The sequence below is a fragment of the Homo sapiens genome, chromosome Y, assembly GCF_000001405.40.
Source record: "Homo sapiens chromosome Y, GRCh38.p14 Primary Assembly".
NCBI classification, from domain to species: Eukaryota; Metazoa; Chordata; class Mammalia; order Primates; family Hominidae; genus Homo; species Homo sapiens.
This window is the reverse complement of record NC_000024.10, coordinates 25,487,371-25,509,238: the sequence shown is the minus strand read 5'-3', so window position 1 is coordinate 25,509,238 and position 21,868 is coordinate 25,487,371. Positions and strand designations below refer to the sequence as shown.

At 46.0% G+C, this 21,868-nt stretch overlaps 3 pseudogenes; 2 read left to right on the top strand and 1 right to left on the bottom strand.

Moving 5' to 3' along the window:
* GOLGA6L16P (golgin A6 family like 16, pseudogene) lies at positions 9,006 to 11,763 on the top strand (annotated as a pseudogene).
* Positions 13,640 to 16,565, top strand: GOLGA6L14P (golgin A6 family like 14, pseudogene; annotated as a pseudogene).
* DNM1P26 (dynamin 1 pseudogene 26) lies at positions 16,776 to 21,732 on the bottom strand (annotated as a pseudogene).

Sequence of the window (21,868 nt, the reverse complement as noted above, 5' to 3'; positions counted from 1 at the left end):
GATGGCATTTCATGGTAATCCCTTCCCCCAAGAGTGTAGAATGTTTCTTTAGCTTCTTTGATAGTTTGTTTATTTATTTATTAAGTACTTACTATAAACCAGACTCTGCTTTAATTTGTGATGAACAACCTAGAGATTAAGTCCTGCCCTATGGATTTTATATTAGAGTGAGAAAAACAGATAGCTAAGTCTGGAGCTCAGGGGTGAGGCCCAGGTTGGAATTATAGATTCACTTGACCAAGGTGAAACCTGGTGTGCCCCCTCCTACTTCACATCCCCAGACATACTTCTAGAACATTTCTGTTCTATTCTTGTGTATAAACTCTTCCTTTTGAGCCTCTCTCCATTGATGCATATCAACCTCTACTTGTCTTTTGTTGATTTTGAGGCCACTTGCCCATATAACTTGGAGGATATTGAAGAAGAATCATACCGACCTGGTTCTGCTACCTAACAGCTGAGTTACTTTGGTCAAGCTCTTGGACTTCTGAGGCTGTTTCCTAATTTCAAAAGTGGGTATATGATGTGTTAGGCCCTGGTGGGTTGCAAGGAAGAGGTACACACATATCACCTTTGATGATGATGGCGGAATATTAACTTGGATGGAAAGTCATCCAAACAGCGATATTGTCTCTGGCCCTAGTAATTTCAAAACCTCACAGAATATTAATTTAGCAGTATTTAGGATAGGGTTTGAGCTCTGAAGACCTACAGTGTGGTTATTTGTTCATATGGCTGTTTTCCATACTAGACCATGAACTCCATGAGGGCAGGGTCTACAGTTTCATCTTTCTATCCTAGACACTCAGTTCCGTGCCTGATACATAATAATAGAGGCACAAATGTTTTAAGAGTTGAGGAATTTTCAACTGTTACTGAAAGAATAGGAAGATATAAAGGCTTCTCAGAGACAGTATCATTTAAGCTGATTTTGTTTTTGTTTTTGAGATGAAGTCTTGCTCTCTCACCCAAGATGGAGTGCAATGGCGTGATCTCAGCTCACTGCAACCTCTGCTTGCCAGTTGCAAGTGATTCTTCTGCCTCAGTCTCCTGAGTAGCTGGGATTACAGGCATCCACCACCACACCCAGCTATTTTTTGTATTTTTAGTAAAGATGAGGTTTCACCATGTTGGCCAGGCTAGTCTCAAACTACTGATCTGAGGTGATCCACCCACCTTGGCCTCCCAAAGTGCTGGGATTACAGGCATGAGCCACCATGCCCAGCTTATTTAAGCTGATTCTTTAAGGGTAAGTAGAAATTTTTTCCAGGTGAATAAAACCTTGAGCTATTATTCCAAGCAGAGACCAGTAGGTGCAAAGACATAGGGATATAGAGATGTAGAAGTTTACCAAACACTGCTAGATTAAAAAAACAAAAAGGAAACTATCAAAATCAAAAATTCAGATTAAAAATCACCTTAAATACAAACTATGAATGGGCTTGGCCAGAGGTCACATCGCAACTGAGTTAACTATGACCGTAGACACTCAGTAATGGATGGAAGTTTTAGGGAAAACACGTAACATTCTCAGGTTGTTGGCAGAGTATCTGGAACAATCTACAAATACGGGCATTGAATTCTGGGAATAATTACACTGTAGTGATATCATTTCCTTCTCTGCGTATGAAGCATGTATGTATTGCACACTGTTCAAGGTGCTGAAAATCAGACTCTTCTCGAGCAATCAAGGAAGATGGATGGGTGAGCAACTGATTATCATGTGACAAGTGAGGTAATAGAGATATGACTAAGATGGTATCTAAACAAGAAGAAAGGAATTATTCATAATATATGGAGTTCTGGGGAAATATTTCTCAAATGAAGCCAGCCGGGCCGGATGGCTCCCACTTGTAATAGCGGCACTTTGGGAGGTGGAAGTGGGAGGATCTAGGAGGATCTAGGAGTTCAAGACCAGCCTGGTCAACAGAGCAAAGCCCTGCCTGTTTCTATATTTGAAAAAAAAATAAATAAATTTTTTAAATGACATGATATTTGAGCACTCTGGAGCACCATACAAATATAGGACAGACTGAAGGAATGTATCTGGCTTGAGTTAACATTTGTTGAAATTTTATATTGCAAAAATAGTACATATTCACTGTTTTGAAACTAGGAAGAATTGATAGGCAAGGAGGGCTGTCTACAAAGCACTCCATAGATCCACCATACTGAGACAATGCTTAATGCTTTGATGGATTTATTGTATACTATCTATGCATATGCATGCATTATATACATACGTATGCATGGTTAAATAGAAATATTTCTCCTTGGTGTTAATCCATTTATTGTTATGCAGTAAATCCCCAAAGAGCACATTTGCTTTGCCCAAGGGAGTCTTTTGCTACATACTGCTGCACATAATGAAAACTAAAAAATTGGCTAACTTTTCAGCCTTGTGACTTTGTGGTGATTCAAATAGAGGCTTCATCAAAGGCAGATTCAGAAATGAACTTAGTGTGTGGGTGGTTATGCTTGGCATTATTGTTTGTAATAGTATGATAGGGATGACTTCAGTGTCCACCAACAGGGAACTGGTTAAGTAAACTGTGGTACATCCAAACGATGAATACTGTGCGGTTGTAAAGAAGAATGACAAAGACCTCTGTACTCATGTAGAAGAACTCACATATATTGTGTGTGTTTTAAGAGGAACAAGGAATGGTATAGTATGTATGGTATGCTACTTTTTGTGTTGAGAGAGAAGAGTAGAATAAGAATATACGTGTGTATTTGCAAAGATAAATTCTGAAATGATATATAAGAAACCAATTAAAAGTGTTTGGCTGTAGAAGGAGAATAAGACTGTGAATGGGATTTGGCCACATACTTTTATAGGTAGTTATATTTAAAAATTTTCTGAACCATGTGTTTGTACACATGACCCTTTTAAAAATAAGTGAATGAAGGAATGAAGTAGGATTATGAGAAAGAGATAAGAACAAATGATCTAAGGGGCTGCCCATTTTTTAGTACCTAGTGAATATTAATATAAACAATAGCAGCAAAAATTGGAAGAGTAGCCCCAGGAGGGTAGGGAGTCAGCCTTTCCTTTGTCTTTTCCTCAATTTCATATATTAAACAAAATAATCTGAGAATGATAAAACAATTTGAAATAAAAAATGTCTCCACATCTCTTAAAAGGAAGCTAGGGCAGCTTTCTGTAGCGCACTTCCCGAAAATGGGCTGATTTACCTCAAGAGGCAGGGATTCTAGCCTACATGGGATACATACAGGAGAAAAAAAAATCAGAAAAAGAAAAGAGATTTAAATATAAATAAATGAAAATCACAATTCTCCCTCATTATAAAGGAAATCATTCTTTTTGTAATAATTTGGATGACAAATATTAAGAAAAATCTTTAATTTGCCACTCAAAACATTGTGGCTTGTTGCTTTTTATATGTTTTTATGCACATAAACCTTTTAAAAAGTAGAATCGTAATATGTAGTCTTTTGTCACTTACTATATTTTGGGCATATTTCTGTGGCAGTAAATGTATCCTGGCACCATCATTTTTAATAGCTGCATGTATATTAAGTTAATCACTGCCACCCCAGAGGTGAATTTTCTTTCTTTTTTTTTTTTTTTTTTTTTTTTTTTGAGACGGAGTCTCGCTCTGTCGCCCAGGCTGGAGTGCAGTGGCGGGATCTCGGCTCACTGCAAGCTCCGCCTCCCGGGTTCATGCCATTCTCCTGCCTCAGCCTCCCAAGTAGCTGGGACTACAGGCGCCCGCCACTACGCCCGGCTAATTTTTTGTATTTTTAGTAGAGACGGGGTTTCACCGTGTTAGCCGGGATGGTCTCGATCTCCTGACCTCGTGATCCGCCCGCCTCGGCCTCCCAAAGTGCTGGGATTACAGGTGTGAGCCACCGCGCCCGGCCGGTGAATTTTCTTATACATACATTTTAATGGGCTTGAGCAAACATTTTTGGACTAAATTCATAGAAGTAGAATTTCTGGAGGAAAATAATTTTTAGGGTTTTTAATAGAAACTTTCAAATCATTCTCCAGGAAAAGTGACTCAGGTTACACTCCCACCAACAAGGACAGAGCTCCAGGTTCCCCTTTCCATTTGTCATCTTTCCTGCCTTTATACAGAAAATCTCATTGTTTTCATGACATTTCTTTGATTTCTTGTGCTTTTGAATCTTTGTATATGCCATTGGCCATTTTTATTCTTGTGAGACATGCCAGTTTCTCCATTAACCATTTCAGTTGAAAATCATTTGTTTTTTTTCTCAGTAATTTTAAAGATTTCTTTATAGACTAAGGATGCAAGCATTTTATCTGTCATTGAGGTTACAAAAACTTTCTCCCAGTAAGTAATTTGTCATTTCATTTTTTCTTCTTTTCTTTTTCCTTTCCTTTCCCTTTCTTTCTTTCTCTTTTTCTTTCTTTTCCTTGTTTCGTTCTTTCTTCTTCTTCTTCCTTCCTTGCTTTCCTTTTCTTTCTTGCTTTCCATTCTTACGTTCTTTTCTTTTCCCTCCCTCCCTCTCTTTCTTTCCTCTTTCTTTTTCTCTTTTTCTTTCTCTCTCTTTTTCTTTCTTCTTTCCCTCTCTCTCTTTCTTCCTTTCCTTTCTTTCTCTTTGTTCCCTCCCTCCCTCCTTCTTTCCTTTCTTTCTTTCTTTCTTTCATTAGCCAAGCTCCAAAGTCACATTTCACTTAATTTTTATCCTGCCAAATTTGAAAGCCTTTTAACTTCGTGATTTTAGTGTAAACAGGAGCAGGAGAAAATGTAATTATCTAAGTCTCGCTCTGTCACCCAGACTGGAGTGCAGTGCCATAATCATAGCTACTGCAGCCTTGAACTCCTCGCCTCAAGCAATTTTCCCACCTCAGCCTGCCAAGTAGCTAGGACTACAGCTGTGTGCCACCACACCCAGCTAATGTTTAAAAATTTTTGTGGAGATGTGAATTCTCTATGCTGCCCAGGCTAGTCTTGAACTCCTGACTTCAAGTAATCCTCCCACCTCAGCTTGCCAAAGTGCTGGGATTACAGGTGTCAGCTACTGCTCCTGACAGAGAGTTTAGTTTTGTTTGGTAGTGGTGTTCTTGGTATGTTTTCATATTTGAGGCTTTGGGCTAGTGCTGAAGTATTACACTCACCATCCGCGGTCTACAGGACTTTTGGTTTAATATTGAACAGATGGAACTGTTTAGTTCTGCATCTTTGAAGGTACACAGAATGTGCCTACCAGGAATCTGCTTTATATCCATTGAAAGCAAGAAATAATACAGTAAAACTTTGCCTGGCTAGAGTATTTGAAAGAATGGCATATTCTGCTTTAATTCTATTACTTTGGAAGTATGAAGGTGAAAAAAATTCAAAACTTAAATTTCCTGTTGAATGCAATTTGAAAATATGGCCAATGATTGCACTTTTCTTCTCTAGTAAGGTTGGACATTCTGATCTACTTGGTGTTTTATTATAGAACTGCTAGTGTGCTTGAGTCTTACATTGTGAAGATACTTTTTTAAAACTTGAGATGTAAGAGGATGTAAATGGTTTTGTAGGCGATCAGGCTGGATGAGAACGGACACTTGTAAACATACTTTTTAGACTAAATCTCTGATTGCCACTTGTTTTTCTTATGGAACTCATAAAAATAAAACACATTGGATGGAGGGTGCGAGTAGGAAGGAGATTCTTGTCTTTTAATTGCATGTCATTGTTTCATAACAAGGCAGACCATATGGCAACCCTGGCTTTGGACCTACAGAAGTAAACACATTTTACTAACTGCTGTATGCCAGAGGTTCTTGAACACCTGGAGGGATTACTGCAGCACAGATTGCTGAACCCTACTCCAGAGTTTCTGATTCACCAGGTCCAGGGTGGGGCCTGAGAATTTGCACTTATAAAAAGGTCTCAGGTGCTGCTGGTGCTGCTAGTCCATAGACTACATTTTGAGAACCACTCTTGTCTATTAAGTGTAAATTGTAGAACTCTAGAAAAAAGCTTAGTTTGGTCTGGGATAAGAAGCACACAGGTTATGGAGAAAATCATGAAAGATTCAACCCTTGATCCCAGCCTAGTGTGGATTTCAGGTAACAAGCAATACACAGTGACATAACACAATTCTTGGTTTTCATGATTGCAAGTCATAGCCAGGTATCAAGTGAGAAATTCAGTTTCATTTGCAAGGCTTAGAGAGGCCAGGTGATTCTAGAAAAATGGGCCTTGTATTTGTTTTAAACCAGTAAAGAGCTTTAAGTGCTTATTAAATTGGAAGTTTTGTGTTCCTACTTATTTTGTATCTTATTTTATTTTATTTTATTTATTTTGAGATGGAGTTTTGCTCTGTCGCCCAGGCTGGAGTGCAGTGGCGTGAGCTTGGCTCACTGCAACCTCCATCTCCTGGGTTCAAGTGATTCTCCTGCCTCAGCCTCCCAAATAGCTGGGATTACAGGCACCCACCACCACACCTGGCTAGTTTTTGTATTTTTAGTAGAGATAGGGTTTCTTCATGTTGGCCAGGCTGGTCTTGAACTCCTGACCTCAGGCGATCCACCCACCTCGGCCTCCCAAAGTGATGGCATTACAGGGGTGAGCCACCACACCCGGCCCAAAAGCTTTGTGTTTTTAAAGATATTAGACATGTTTCTTGTTTTTAAAAGAAATCTTAACAATAATGTAGGAGAATAAGACAAACATTTTTCCAAAAAAGAGAAATCATTGTGATTATTTTCTGTTATTGGAATGTCGGATACTATAGTTGGCTTCATTAATCATCAAGAATTCTATGGATTTTCCATTTATATAGGATCTATATTTCAGTTAAGGTAATACTGGTAATTCTTGTGTTCCATTTGAAGATGAAAAATATAGGCCAAAATCATAGACTTTGCATAGAAGCTGGATAATGAAGACAGCTCTGGAGGAACACATAGATACACACAGACACACATATATAAAGTATACACACATATATTTTTTAAAGTTTATTTTTTACAGTTTTAAAGCTTTTAAAGCAAAAGCCAGCCCCTCCCCTCTCCCAGATTGGGCGGCCCCTCCCCTCTCTCTTAGTGGGCGGGGACAGCAGTTGCATGGCCAGCTTTCCTTATGATGCCACAGGTCCCTCTGGACATGCTGCTGCCTGGACACGCCTCCTTTCCCTTTCATCTTTCTCACTGACCAATGGGCTTGGAGCATTAAGGCCAAGCCCCTATTCTGTGTTACATTGGTGCCCTGGTTACACCACCTGTGGTTCAGTCGCACAGCTGCCTTGTAGGTGACTGGAGGCATTCAGCAGTGCTCACTGGGATTTTGCTGATGTGGCCCCAACCCCGCCTCCCTCCCCACCCCACGATGTCAGAAAACACACAACAGGGGAAATTGGCTGCAGCCAAGAAAAAGGTAAAACGCACCAGGTCATGGCCCCCAACCCAGCCACAGATCCCCTCCGATGACAAGACCGGTGGCAGAGTCCATACCACTCCTGAGGCATACCAGACTAGGCCCCCCAACACCAGCGCCTCTGGGCTCCCCCAACCAAAGTCTTGTCAGTCAGCCCCACCCCTTCAGCAAGCCACTCAGTCCTTGCCCTTGCCAGTCACCACAGGGTGACTTTGGGAGGGTGACTCCTGGGGCTCCCTGCTCCATACTCGGACCTCACCTCCTGCCACCCCAAGCCCAACCTCCCTGGGCTCTTTGGGCTTGTGTCTCCCAGGAGCTGGGTCCCCCAGCCCCGGGCCCCGCCCTGGCCAGTCATACCTGGGTGACTTTTTTGACTCCCGGGGCTCCCTACTGCAGACTCGGCCCTCCCCTCTTGCTGCCCCAAGCTCGACCTCCCTGGGCTTCTTGGACTGGCATCTCCGAGGACCTGGGTCAAAACCCTGTGTTTCCCTCCCCCATCATGGAGCGGCAACTTGGGCATCAAGCCGATGTGGTCCCCTCCCCTGGGAGGAGTGGAATGTAGTGATGTCACAGTCCCACGAGGAACTGTCATTACTGCTGCAAGACCGGCCTTTGATTTTACAACCCAGTCCCCTAAGTTTTCTCACCCCATTTCTGGTTCCTCTGGTTGCAGCACAAATTTCCAGCTGGAAGGGGAGTGGGGACTATGGGACTTATGAGCAAGAAGTTTCAGGCTGCTTTACACCGTGAACAATGTCTAATTCACAGTGTGAAAAGCTTACACTTCCTGTGAGCTCAAAACATTGACAGTATCTCTGGGCAGCAATGGGAGAATGGGTTTGGTTTGGTTTTCTCCCAGGCTTATACCTTCCAGAGAGACTTTAACATATTTTCTGAGTTCTCCATGGTTCTGGGACCAGACTGACCTTCAGTCAGTGGTCTCTGAAGTGAGATTTGCTCATCTTCTGTGGAATAGATCTTGGGAAACTGAACTTGACAGCTTGAATCTTCCTCATATCATCTCAACCTAGGGTACTTTGAGTGCCACAGGATAAATGTGGGACATCTTTCTGAAGCATCATTTTCCCTTGATTCTCTTGAGAAAAAACATTAATGTACTTAGGGATGACAGACACATAGGTTTCCAAGTGTATACCAGACTTCTCTCTGAAATGAGGCTTGGGTTGTCCTCTTTCTGATAAATTCCCAGATTTAACAGAAAAGCTGCCTTCTGCCATGAAGACACATTGATATGAAAGTGTGGGAGGTACTGGTGTGCTTTTTCACGCTAGCAGACCTGTGAGGATGTATGACTCTAAACCACACGGCCTACAGTTCCTGCCTGCTTAATGTTTACTTTTCTACCTCTACCCCTTGTTTTGGTCCCTGGCAGCTGCTGATTCATGGAAAACTCCAGAGCTTGGAGTCAGAGGACTGAGTTTCAGTTCCAGTTTTGACATTTTTTTTTCTATCCATGATATCAATCCCTCTCAATCACTAAATGACTGTGACAACACCTTGTCCAATTGTTGGTGGCATTAAACCAGATGGTATATAAGAGTATTTTGTCAAAACTGTAAAGGAGGATGTGGCTGTAGGGGCTGATCATTCTCATGAGTGTTACTGCTCTTTTTTTCCCACAGTTAAAAGAATATTGGCAGAGGAAGAGCCCTGGCATTCCAGAAGGAGCTAACAGGAAAAAGAAAATCAATGGCAGTAGCCCTGACACAGCCACTTCTGGTGGTTACCACTCACCTGGGGATGTGAGTCTTGGCGGGCCAGGCTCCTGGGGACAGGGGGCCCAAGGGGCAGTAGAGGGTAATTTTTAAGATTGTGGATGGACTGTTGGGTACTGGTTAAGAATTCTGGGTTTGAATCCTGCCTCTCCATCTGCTAAGGATTGATTAGGGATTGATTAGCATATGATTTAGGGTAAGTTGCTTGAGGTCTTTGGGCCTCTCTTTTCACATCTGTATAATAGAGGTGGTATTTTTTGACTTCCATTTGTTAAATTTAAATCAGATTTATTATTGTTGCTTTTATGTGAATCCTTAGTATATGGCCTGCTGAAAACACCCAGGACACCCAGAAAATGGTCATTGCTGTTTGATTTTCCTCATCCTCAGTCTCAAGAGGAAGCCAGGCTAATGAGAAGAGCCACTTGCCATCAGGCTGTCCCTTTAGGAGTCACTGAAAGGGCCCCACGGTGGGATGGTGGGGAGATAAGAACCATGACAGAAGTTGGCACAAAGGAGTTATGGGACAAAGGGTCCAAGATAGGCAGAAAAGAAGCTTTTGCCAGTTGATGGGGGAAGAAAGGAAGTCAGAGGGCTTAGACAGTGAGGGGGGACAGAACATCTCCATATGCACTCTCATCTCTTGCAGTCAGCAGCAGGTATCTACAGGGAGGGCCCTGCATCATCTGCTACCCTGGAGGATCTGGAGGTAAGAGGCCCTGGGCTGAGGTGCAGTGACCCTGCAGGCCAGCCCTCCAACCTCCTCCCACAGCAGGGGCTTGTTGCCCCTCTGCCAGCTGAGACAGCCTACACGCCCCCACCAGCCCTAATGATTGTTTTCTCTACCCCTCCCCACAATCTTCCTCCAACTCCTCCTCTCTGCATGCACCTCAGAGCCAGTACCAAGAACTAGCAGTAGCCCTGGATTCAAGCTCCGCAATAATCAGTCAACTCAGTGAAAACATCAATTCACTGGTAAGAGTCCAGTGGGGTCCCCTGATTCCAGCTGGTCAATCCTGGACTCCAGTTTCCTCTTGGGGCCCTGAAGAAAGGGGCTAGGGGCCCCTGATGCCAGGACCAGTGGGGAGCTGGGGCACCCAGGCCTCACCTGGAGGGACCCCAGAGCACAGAACATGCAGCGTGGCTCTTCTCCACTGCCCTCTTTGCTGACTCTCTCTTCTCCAGACACCCCTGCTCTAGTTGTTGCCACACATGCCCTGGGTTTGTCACCTCTCAGGGAAGCACTAGCCTGACTGGTTGTCAGGGGCCCATATTTCTGCCCTGCCTCAGTCCCTAATTTGCTTTTTGAGTCTGGACAAGCCATCTCTCCTCCTTAGGCTCGTGTTTCTGGAGGAGGTAGAGAGTATCAAAGGTCACTGTTAGCTCTGAAAGAGATTTAAAGGCCCTTAGAATGGAAACCTCAGGGCCAAGGGCTCCTGTCTGTTCTTTGCTCTCTTATATCTCTGCTATGAAGATCTGTTCCTGGCCTGTACATGCTCAGTAAGTGTTGAATGAATGCACCTTTCTAAATCACAAGCTGGCAGAAGGGAGGTGGGACTTTCTCAAACTCTGTCTCTACAGGTTCAGCAGCCCCTCTCTCCAGGGCCCTCTCCTCCCTGTGCTTTGGGCACGTTCGCACATCGAAGGAGGAGAAGAAGCATGAGATACATCGAGTACAGAAGCTTGGGTTTACCAAAACCAGATGGGTAAGATGGGGCTGGCATGACCTGGGAGGAGGACTGGCATCAGAGGGCTGTGGGGGTGACTTAGAATGCCCCAGGGAGGTGGGTGGATGGAAGGGCTTTGAGGCAGAGGGAAAGAGGTCTGTGCCAGGAGACAGCAAGTCTTGTCATCTCCATGAGCCTCAGTGTCCGCATCAGTAAAGAGGGAGGAATGCCCATTGTCAGCCACCCACAGTGCTCTCTATGTGAAAGTGACTTGGAAGATTAGCTGTCATCCGGGTGTGAGGAGTCATTAGCAGTGAGGCCAAGTTTGGGAAGCCTGAGAGGAGGAGCTGTCCAACAAAGGGAGGTTTTTTTTTTGTTTTTTTTTTTTGAGAGTCCAGAGGCCCTTATTGTCTGCTTCCTTTCTCAGCTGAACCCCTGGCCCCAGAGCCCCCAGCAGGGCCCTCTGAGGTGGAGCAGCTACAAGATGAGACCAACCACCTAAGGAAGGAGCTGGAGAGTGTGGGAAGACAGCTCCAGGCTGAGGTGGAAAACAATCAGATGTTGAGTCTCCTGAACAGGAGACAGAAGGAGAGGCTACGTGAACAGGAGGAGAGGCTACGTGAACAGGAGGAGAGGCTACATGAACAGAAGGAGAGGCTATGTGAACAGGAGGAGAGGCTATGTGAATAGGAGGAGAGGCTGTGTGAACAGGAAAAGCTGCCAGGGTAGGAGAGGCTGCTGGAAGAGGTGGCGAAGCTGTTAGAACAGGAGAGGTGGCAAGAGGAGCAGGAGAGGCTGCTGGAGAGGGAGAGGCTGCTGGACAAGGTGGAGGAGCTGCTGGAACAGGAGAGGCTTTGGGAGCAGGATGAGAGACTGTGGCAGCAGGAGACTCTGTGGGAGCTGGAGAGGATGTGGGTGCTGGAGAGGATGCTGGAGCTGGGTTGGGAAGCCCTCTATGAGCAGAGGGCGGAGTCACACAGCGGCTTCAAGGAGCTGGTGCGTTGCCCCACCTGGGGAGGCTGCCCTCTTCCCTAGCCCTCAAGGCCCTTGTTTCCCCACCTGTAAAATGGGGCATTGTAGCCTTCACATGAAGTGGTACTTCTAAAGGCACCTGTGAGACGGAGCCCTGCTCTGATGGCTGTGGGAGACAGGGTATGATTTTTCTAAACTGCCTCCACCCTTCCTGGTGCCATGGGAGGCAGACACTAAGTTCTGGGGTCTCCAGTTTTAGTGGGTGGCCACTGATTGTTTCTCTCTGTCCAGAACAATGAGAACAAGAGCGCAATGCAGTTGGAGGAACAAGTAAAGGAGCTGAAGAAGCCGGGTGAGCTGAAAGAGACGGTAATCTCCGACCCCTCCAAGAAGATGTGAGAGGCAGGCACCAGCCTCTGGGGAGGGGATGTGCCAGGCCAGAGGCAGCTGCAGCCTGAGGGCAGGTGACCCCAGCACCCTCCAGTGCAGTCCTATGACTGTTTCTGCTTCCGGCCCTCTGACTTTTAGAGGTGGGTAGCCCTGGGCTCCTCCCAGGTCTGGACATCATCATCCCAGCTAGAGGCATGGAGCCCCCCAATCACAGAGGAAGAGGCAGTGGTATAAGAGGCTCCTTATGTTGGGTGTGGTGGCTCACGCCTGTAATCCCAGCACTTTGGGAGGCTGAGGCAGGACAATCACTTGAGGTCAGGAGTTTGAGACCAGCGTGGCCAACATGGTGAAACCTCATCTCTACTAAAACTTTTTTTAAAAAAATAATTAGCCGGGCCTGGTGGCGCATGCCTGTAATCCCAGCTACTCGGGAGGCTGAGACACGAGAATCACTTGAGCCCAGGAGGTGAAGGTTGCAGTGAGCTGAGATCACACCACTGCACTCCAGCCTGGGACACAGAGTGACACTGTCTCAAAACAAAACAAAACAAAACAAAACAGAAAAACAAGACTCCTTAGATTCAAACTGGATTCTGGCCTTGGTTCCACTGGTCATAATTCAACTACTTTGCATCTCTAAGTCTCTGTTTCTTTAACTTCAAAACGAAGTTAGCCTTTTCCTTGCAGAGGTGCTGAGGATTAAATGAGATAATACGTGGAAACATTAGGCATGTAGCACACTTAGCAGATGGTGGTTGGCTCCCCCTGCTTTTCCATCAGTCTTTGGTCTACAGTTTAAATGCTGGGAAAAAGGATGTGAGATTTGAGGCTGGGGAAGGAGGCATGGGGTTCCAGGCAAGGGAGGCAGTCTCTTAGGGCTGGAGCAAGGGTCCACGGCCTGGGCAGGCCACAGAGCCCCACGGTGCCCTTGCTACCCTATTAATGGGCCAGGAATCTGGAAGCCAGCCACCACATGCCCTCATGCCCAGGGTCTTCCGGCAGGTGAAGCTGAAGAGCCAAGAGGCTCCAAGTCTGCGGCAGCAGCAAGACCAGTACCTGTGTACCGCTCTAGGAGCCCTGATCCCACAGGAGCTTGGGTGTGCGGACAAGCAGTGTGGTGAGTAGAGCCCTCAGGTGGGGTGGGCAGGCAGGAGCAGGGGAGGCTGGCACTGTGCTCAGATTCCCACCCCCCTCCCTCTCTCTGAAGATCTTAGTGAGGTGAGCCTCACTGGTAGCGTGGAGGCTGCACCAGGAGAGGACAGGGAGGGTTCTCTCCATGACAACCCCACTGCACAGCAGATCCAGCAGCTCCTTCCTCTAATGCAGGACTCCCCAGGAGCACCCAGGCTTGGGTGGAGAAGCTGTTGGTACAGGAGAGGCTGCAGGAGGAGCAGGAGATGCTGCATGCCATTCTTTTTGGGCTGCCGAGAACAGGGAGATAAACATCACCATCATCTAAGAGCTGGTCAAGAAATTAAAAAAAAAAAAAAGTTAAGGGGTTAGTCTCCCACACAATTCATTTACTTCATTTGAAAGTTAGAGCCACTTATGTTTATTTGTGTTTCTAATTTATAGTTTAAATTTATTTGTGTTTCTAATTTATAGTTTAAATTTATTTGTGTTTCTAATTTATAGTTTAAATTTATTTGTAAAAAGTTAAATGAGAGTGGGTCTTTCACTCATGTTCACTCTGGCATCCTTTAGCATTTTTTAAAATTTGATAATTATAGGATGTTAGCATGCATATCAAGTTTGCCCTTATGTGGTGGGAGTTCAAACACCCAAAGACCCACTATGTGCATACAACTTTTCTTGCTGGTTTGGGATAGGCTGCCATGCTTTTTAAATGTTAGTACAGCATGTATATTCATTACGGAATTCAGATAAAATTTCCTTATGTTCTGCTGTTATGTTTGATCAAATCCTAATCACAGTGAGCTCTTCATTAGCTCAATATGTGGTCTGCCCTCAAGTGCACGGTCTATTACTTTGTAATATGCCACTGTGAGTACTGACATTTACAGTTGTTTAAAGGTGAAGCACTGGAAACAGCTTTTCCCCCTTTTTCTGTGTATTGGGGATGGGAGTAATAACATTTTGGGGAGGTTTTTAAATCTCCCAAAAGAGGAAAGTGGCCTGCTCTGGTAGGTGTGTGCAGGATAGAATATGTTTCATTTGTTCCGGTGCCAAGAATGAGCACTGTACTATGGTAGTTCCCTTAGGATTTGTATGTGCTCTGGGCTCATGAAGATACTGCCTCATGAGCTGTGGCAGTTGTACTCTTTTTTGACGACATGAAAAGGGATTATTTCTGAGGAATGAAAGGCTCCCATCATGACTGTGGATGTGGAAAAACTTTTCTAGCTGAGAGCATTTATATCTACAAACATTTTAAAGTCAGAGTTCATGTTCCCTGTTTTAATCACATGACTACATGTCCCAGTACACAAAAGGGCACTGGTTGGCATTCTCCTTATTGTATTTAGTAAAGATCAGAAGAAATCCTTTAAGAGTTTAAATGTCCCTGGAACAGGCATACAGGCTCTAGTCAAGAATGAATTTGAGTGAAGGAAAGCTGTGTGACACCTGGCATTCCTCTATGTTCATATAGCTTATTTGAGGCTAGAAGATGGATTTTACCATCTAGACCTCTCTGGCTAATAGCTAGTGTTCAACCGTCTGACATAGGAATTTACTTATTTTCCTTGAATGGAGAACACTTTAAAAATAATAACAAACATTGTTATAAACTAATATAGCGAGAGTACTTAGTTGAAACAAAAAGGAATTTTAGTAGACAGTATTATACTACATTTGAAAATCAAGGAGCAGTTTATGCAACTTAAAATGTTTACAAACTGCAGCACAATCTACTGTTTGTGAATGTCAAAGTGTCATGAGGAAAGTGTCTATACAATCAGTTATATTTCCTCACAAAGTTCTTTATGAAGAGTGAAATATGTTTTTATACCTCTCAGTTTCAGTTAGAGGCATATTTTTTGTAATATTTATGGCTTAAAATGGACTAAAGGTCCTGTTCTTGCCTTTTCTGAACTTGCTGCTTTTGCATTCTTTGAGTTCAGTTTAAAGACACTTACTTTAACTCCATTTTAAACCCTCGGGCTAGAAATCATACCACTGTTAATTAGCCATGTTATTTGGTCTAACAGTTTTTGTTTATCATTCTGAAACTGAGCTTATCTAATACATTGATAAATTATTTCAAAGGTATTTTTATAGTTCAAATCACTTCACTTTTACCCTGACACATAAATGACTAGGAATGACCTTCAGATAGCATTTAGCAACTGTAACCAATCTGACAATAATGTGTTCATCAGGTACCTCTGGATTAAATCACATACTGGCATATTTAAGCTGAATGTCAGTCTGAAATATAAATATACTATATTAATTCAAATACCACTCTTTGTGTAGGTATTTTGTCATATGTTTAAGAAAAAGCTAAAGAGAATGGAAATCCTATGACAATAACTCAAGTCTTTCTTCAAAGTGCATGCAGTCTTTTGCAGTACCTCATTCAGCCAAGTATTTGTTCTCTACCTCATTCAGTATAAGGCAGCTTTTAATTTGCTTAGAAGGCAACATTAGAAGGTTAGAGTTCAGCAGGAACATAGAATTTAAAAATGTGACTTCAACTGAATAAATTTGAATTTCTTCAGGGAGTAAAGAATCAAAACACCTATTTAAAGACTGCAAAATATGATAATTATTTTTAAAGTAATTGATTAAACCTGGTAGGTTTTCCGGAAATGAAAAACAATCAGTTCTAAAACCAAAGCTGATTTTTAGAAAATGTGAAAATGTAAGCCAACCCTATCCATAATAGATTCTCTAAAACTTTATCTTACAGTCACTTTCAAATAACTATTCAAAAATGTAACTGCTATATTAATGTCTTAAAATAATTTAAAACATTTTAAAATATGAATACTGTTGTTTAAAACAAAGAATGTAGGGGAAGGAAAGTAGACAAAGAAATGCCAATTCCAGTCCAAAGCTGTATTTGCCAAGTTTTCTTAGAATGACTTTTACTGATTTATGAATTCTTATACACAGAATGCATAATGGAAATACTGATTTTTGTCTAAAGTGGCATTATTGACTGCTTTTGTGATGCTACTATAATGTAATACATTATTAAATTGTTTCAAGGTGCTGTTTTGCCTAAAAATTTTGTGTGTCTTGAAAACTATAGTATTGGGTATTGAGACTCTGCAAATTCTGGGTATGCTTGGCATGAGATAATCGGTTTTTATTCTTACAAAATTGTAACTATGTAAGTGTGTTTATTAAAAGAACACAAACTAAAAAAGTGACAGGAATTTAAAAAAGTTGTGGGATGAAAAAGTTACGGGATAAAAAATACTGTGGACAAGTTGTGGCAAAAAAATTGTGGAAAAAAAGTAAAAAAAGTTTTATGAAATTTTTTTTCAAAACATCCTGAAAAAGAAGTTACAGGACTTAAAAAAACATCATGGGATAAAAATAAAAATAAATAAAAGAAGGCCCCTGTCAGCATACGCCTGGAGAAGTGGGTCTGGATTCTTCACCCCTACCATGTCCCTACAACCCCTTCCCTGTCACTCCTTTACCATTAGGGTAGCAAGACAAGACCCCTGTCTAATGGAGGGAGACAAAGAGACCCTTTACCACCTTGACCAAGCCTGAGTCCTTACATTTCTGGATGATGATGTTTGTTATGTAAGAGCCAGAGGTTGGTGGAGTTGGTTTGTTTGGAGGAGGTCTGATGGCCTCCTTACTCTCACCAAAGCAACTTTTCCCTCAGGGGGGCTCCCATCTTCTTACTCAGAGAGGCAGCTGAGGCGGGACAGTGGAGATAACTGTAGATGAGGTGAGGGCACAGGCTGCTGGGGGTGGCCCCCCTTCCCCCGTGTACATACTGTATCTGTGTAACATTCTGTATCGTACCTACCGGAGGTTGCAGCTGGCATATGAGGAAGAGGTTCTTATAATTGTTCACGGCTGGGAAACTTATTTATTGCTAGCATAGGAGCAAGGAAGGAGGCGGGGATGGGGTCATGGCTCCCTGGTGATGGTACTCGGTTTTTTTTTTTTTTTTTTTTGCTTTTGATTTTGGAATAAATGGATTTAGCCATACTGCTCGGCCTGGTATGTTCCTGTTTCCCTCACTGGGTCCTGCAGTTTGTCCCACTGAATGAGGAGCCCCAGAGTGTCTCAGAATGTCCAGCTGGGCTGTTGGGGACCTTCCAGGCCTGTTACCTGTATGCTGCCTGGTGACACCTGGTGGATTTCATGGGGACTGCCATGTCACCTACGGAGTACAGTCTGGCCCTGACAGCCAACTGGTTGAGAAGCCTGATGTAGCTGTGGCAGGGAAGGCAGATACCTGCGCCCAAGGGCACTGACTTCCATCCACCCTAAGTGTCTTCCGTTCTGTCCCCCTGCCTCCCTCTCCTGTCTGCACCAGGTGGCCTGTCTGTCCCTCCAGAGTGCCGGCTGCCCCGCAGGTTCCCTCCAGGCTGAGTTCAGGGCCCTGTCCCCTAGTGGCCAGAGCTGGCTTCACAGGGTGAGATCCAGCTAAGCTCCAGGGACTTTCCAGGAAAAGTGTCCCTTGAAAAGGGTGTGACCTTTTCACTGCTCCCAACAACACCTTAAAAATGGCTTGGCTTTTTCCGTCCCCTGAGGTCCATAGAGAACACAGCCAGCAGAGGACACATTCTCTGTCATCCAGAAATGGGTTTCTCAGCCAAGGGACAGCAGGACTGGTAGAGGCTGTCAGGCCACACAGCTGCCTGCACAGCACCGCCATGCTTGGCCAGAAGGGTGGGAGGGATGGCGGGGGCTAGCTGTCCGCAGGCCACGCATGTCCCGGAAGCTCAATGGAGGTGGTGCACGTTGGAGGGGCGATGTCAGGAGACAGCTTCCTCTTGCTGGTCCACAAGACTCCGCAAGCACAGCACGGGGACTGATTCCCAGTGCTAGAGCTGAGGCAGTTGGCCACGTATATATATGTATATATGTGTGTGTGTGTGTGTGTGTGTGTGTGTGTGTGAGAGAGAGAGAATTTATAGCTATTTATAGAACTGGGCAGGGGCATACCACAGAGGGGGCACAAGTTTTCAGCAATGGTCACACCTGGATGTGTCAGCTCACCACTACAACAGACTAAGTCACAGATGAAGGGGGCTGGCTTTGGGGCTGGGGGAGCCACTGTCAAGTCACAGGACACCCACCCAGGCAGGCTTGGAAAGGGAGGTCTCTGAGAAGAGGAGGAATCTGTTTAGAGGTCGAAGTGGGGCCTGGGGCTCTCAGGATGGGATGGACTTGCCTGACCCGATCAGCTGGTAGTTGGAGAGAAAGCAGAGAGAAAACGGGTTAGAGAAAAGTCAGAGCTGGTGAGGCGAGTGCAGAGTATGGGTGCGCTGCAGAAGCTGTGGGAGGGCCGGGGAGGGGAGGGCGTAGCTGTGGGCATGGCAAGGTTCCTGGAAAAGAGGGGCTAGAAAGGAAAGGGGAGGAAGATGGAGGGAGAAGCCAGAGCTTCATAGGTAGTGCCTGGGGACTGCGGCGGCCCTCCCCACCCCACACACGCTGGCGTCTCTCATGGCACCCAGGCAATCCACCCATCCACCCACAGTTCAGACCAATGCCAGCCCCCTCGGGCTTCCCTCTTCTGTGGTCCCCATGTCTTCCAACCCACTGGCCCAGGGCCACCTCTTGCTTGGAGAGCCCCATCCAACAGCCACCAAGCCTGATAGAGAAGGAACACTGAACCAAAATGGTGGATCTATAAGGGACGGCTGGCTGGAGTGAATGCCAGAGGCCCCTCTGAGCCATCAGAAAGCCCAGGGTCCTCTGAGGGAACCTGGGGAAGGCAGGGAGTGCAGGTAGTTGGATGCCATTGGCCATAGACTTCTAAGTCTAATGGGAGCCTCAACTGGTCAGCGGGGGGCTGCAGGTTACATAGGTGTGGCTGGGCCCTTCCTGCTGGGAAAAGCAGAGGAGGGAGACTCCGTTGCAGGAAAGGGAAGTGAGCTCTCTAGGTGGAGCTCAGCTGGGCCAGCATGCACTGGGGTCCCCTTGGCTGAATAGCACTGGCGAACCCTAGAAGCAACAGGCCAAGGTGCATGAGCCTGCTGGCCAGCAGTAGTGCTTCAGCAGGGGCCAGGGACCCTGCCTTCAGTCACATGCTAGCAGCTATCATGGTACCTGGGAGGGAGGGAAGGGGGCTGTGTGTCCTTCCATGGCCTATGAAGTGTGTTGTGGGATGACCATGTGTATAGGACTCTCAGGCTTTTATCCTAGATCACCACTGGATTGCTGACAGATAGAGGATGTGGGACCCTGACTACCACCCCTAATCTGCAGTGGATTTGGCTCTCAGCACTCCCAGGCTGGGAGCTGGATCCCTGCCCTGGCAGCATGACTCAGACCACACGAAAGGTACGGCGTGCCCAGTATGATGTTCCCAGGTCTCTGGCCGCCTGAGTCCAGCCCCTCACACAACCCCCTCGAAGCTCCCAGCCCCTACACCATAAACCATGAGCTCTGTGCCCTCTCTGATGGTTCCATGTCTGCCAGGTTGGGCATGGAGCCCCCAGGCTCAGCCATGGAGACCTTGAGAAGTGGCACTGAGTCCCATGGCTCACAAGGAGGGAAGTGAGACAGCCAGCAGCACAAGGACAGAAAAAGGAAGGAGCAAGTCTGCAGCTCCAGAAGGAAGGGGCAGGCCTGGGGGTGGGGGACACACACGCACACACCGGAGTGTGCACACACATGCTGTGAGGCCCCACGGCCCGCATGCACACGCTAACACACATGCCCACAAACAACACGCATACGTCGCCCTCCCCACCACCTCCCGGTGCCCAGCACCCTCACCGGCCGGCACGTGCTGCATGGATCTGGGGCGTGCAGCCACTCGGCACACTGAAGTACATGCGTGGGCAGAGTCACAACACAGATGCTCACCCGCACACAGAGGCATGTGCACCAGCTCCCTGCACACTCGTGCCTGGCGTGCTCAGAGGACCACCCATGCTGCTCAGGGAGACAGGGCTTGCTCACTAATGTCCGGCTGTCATTTCTCCACCTAAGAGCCTTCCATGGCTCCCTACTGCCTACAGCATTGAATCCCAAAAAGTCATACTCTTTGGACTTTGAAGGTTCTCCACCCGGTGCCCCACCCTCCCCACAGAGCTCTTCCTCATTCTGTCTCTGTTCCCTGCTTTGGCCAGTGGCTATCCTCAATGTGACCCACACTACACTTCTGCCCACACTGCAGCTCTTTACCCAGTTACCCTCCAGTTCCTCACAACGTATGCCTATCTCAGTCATGCCCCGGACTGCATTGAAGCCAGGCTGCCTTGAAGAAACTCTCCCAGACTGCCCTTTTCCCCAAGGCAGGGTCATGATTTGCCAAAGGTTTCGTGTGTGTTAGCAAGACTGGAGTCGGAGCAGGCATCAAACTTTGCATCCCATATGTCACACCTCACCATAGACCTGGGTGCCAAATAGCCTGAAGAGTCTGAACTCATGTTGGCAGTTAGCAAAGTGCTCCTATGGCCACATCTGCAGTTAACATAGTATCCCTATGGCCACTGTCTCCCTTGATCCCCACAGCCATCCTAGGAGAAAAGCAGAACGTCATCATTTCATAGAAGGGATGCTGAGGCTCTGGGAGGGAAAGGGACTTGCTTAAAGCCCCAGGGTGAAGCAGCATCTCTGGACTCCCAGTCCAGTGATCTTGCCCAATACTATGCTGCTTCCCTCTACCCATCTAATTTGGTCATCAGCACGTCATAGGGCAAGCCCCAATCCCTGCTTCATTTTTGTATATGGGCGCTGGACCTACAGCCCCACTGTCCAGCCATTTGGAAACAAAAACAGATGCTATTGTTCTTCCTTAGAGAACGTGGCCAGTAGAAACAGGGCACACTGGAAATCAGAGTGAATGTTCTTGAAAGAGGGTCATGGGTCAACCAGGCCAAGCCAAAGGATGCGGTAGAACCATTTTCCTTAGAAATCTTTGGGAGTGAAGTAGTCTTCAGCCACTCTCATCCCTGCCCTTGCAGCTACCACTACCCCATTAGTTTAGACAGGGTTAGGGATAGAGGGTGAGTGGTCCAGGTGTGGAGAAAAAATCAGATTGCCTGTGGCCCCCAGGCTCCTTCCCCAGCTGCTTCTGTCCTAGCTGAGGCCTGGGTGCCATTCTTACACTCTCACAGTCGTGTGCTTGCACCTGCACACATCACACACCTTGCTGGTCACACAGTCACAGCCTGGCCTCTACTCCTGTGGTCCAGTGGCTGGACACCCCCTGAGATGGCTCAAAGGAGTCAGGACTTGGAAGTGGGGACATCCGGGTAGCTGAAGGAAATCCACACACCCAGACTCTCAGACCTGAGGTAGGCTCCCCAGGGGCTGGGATAGGAGTTGGACAGAATGGAGGATGGAGGACAGTGAGAAGAAGAAAGGAAGAGAAATGCAAAGTGTGGCAGCCGCCAAGAGTGAAAACCCACCAAGATGGAAGTGCCATGCACGTACTGGACAGAAGGGGGCAGGTGGGACAAGCCCCACAGCCCCCTCAAAAACGACCACTTCCAGGAGTCAGTGCTCCCTGGGGGGCAGGCTCCGCCAGCCCTTGGCCACACGTGGCTCTGGCACCCATGGTCCCAGTGCCTTGGATGGAGGCGGCCAGGTCTGATGCTCTGGAATCCAGTCCCATTTCCATCCC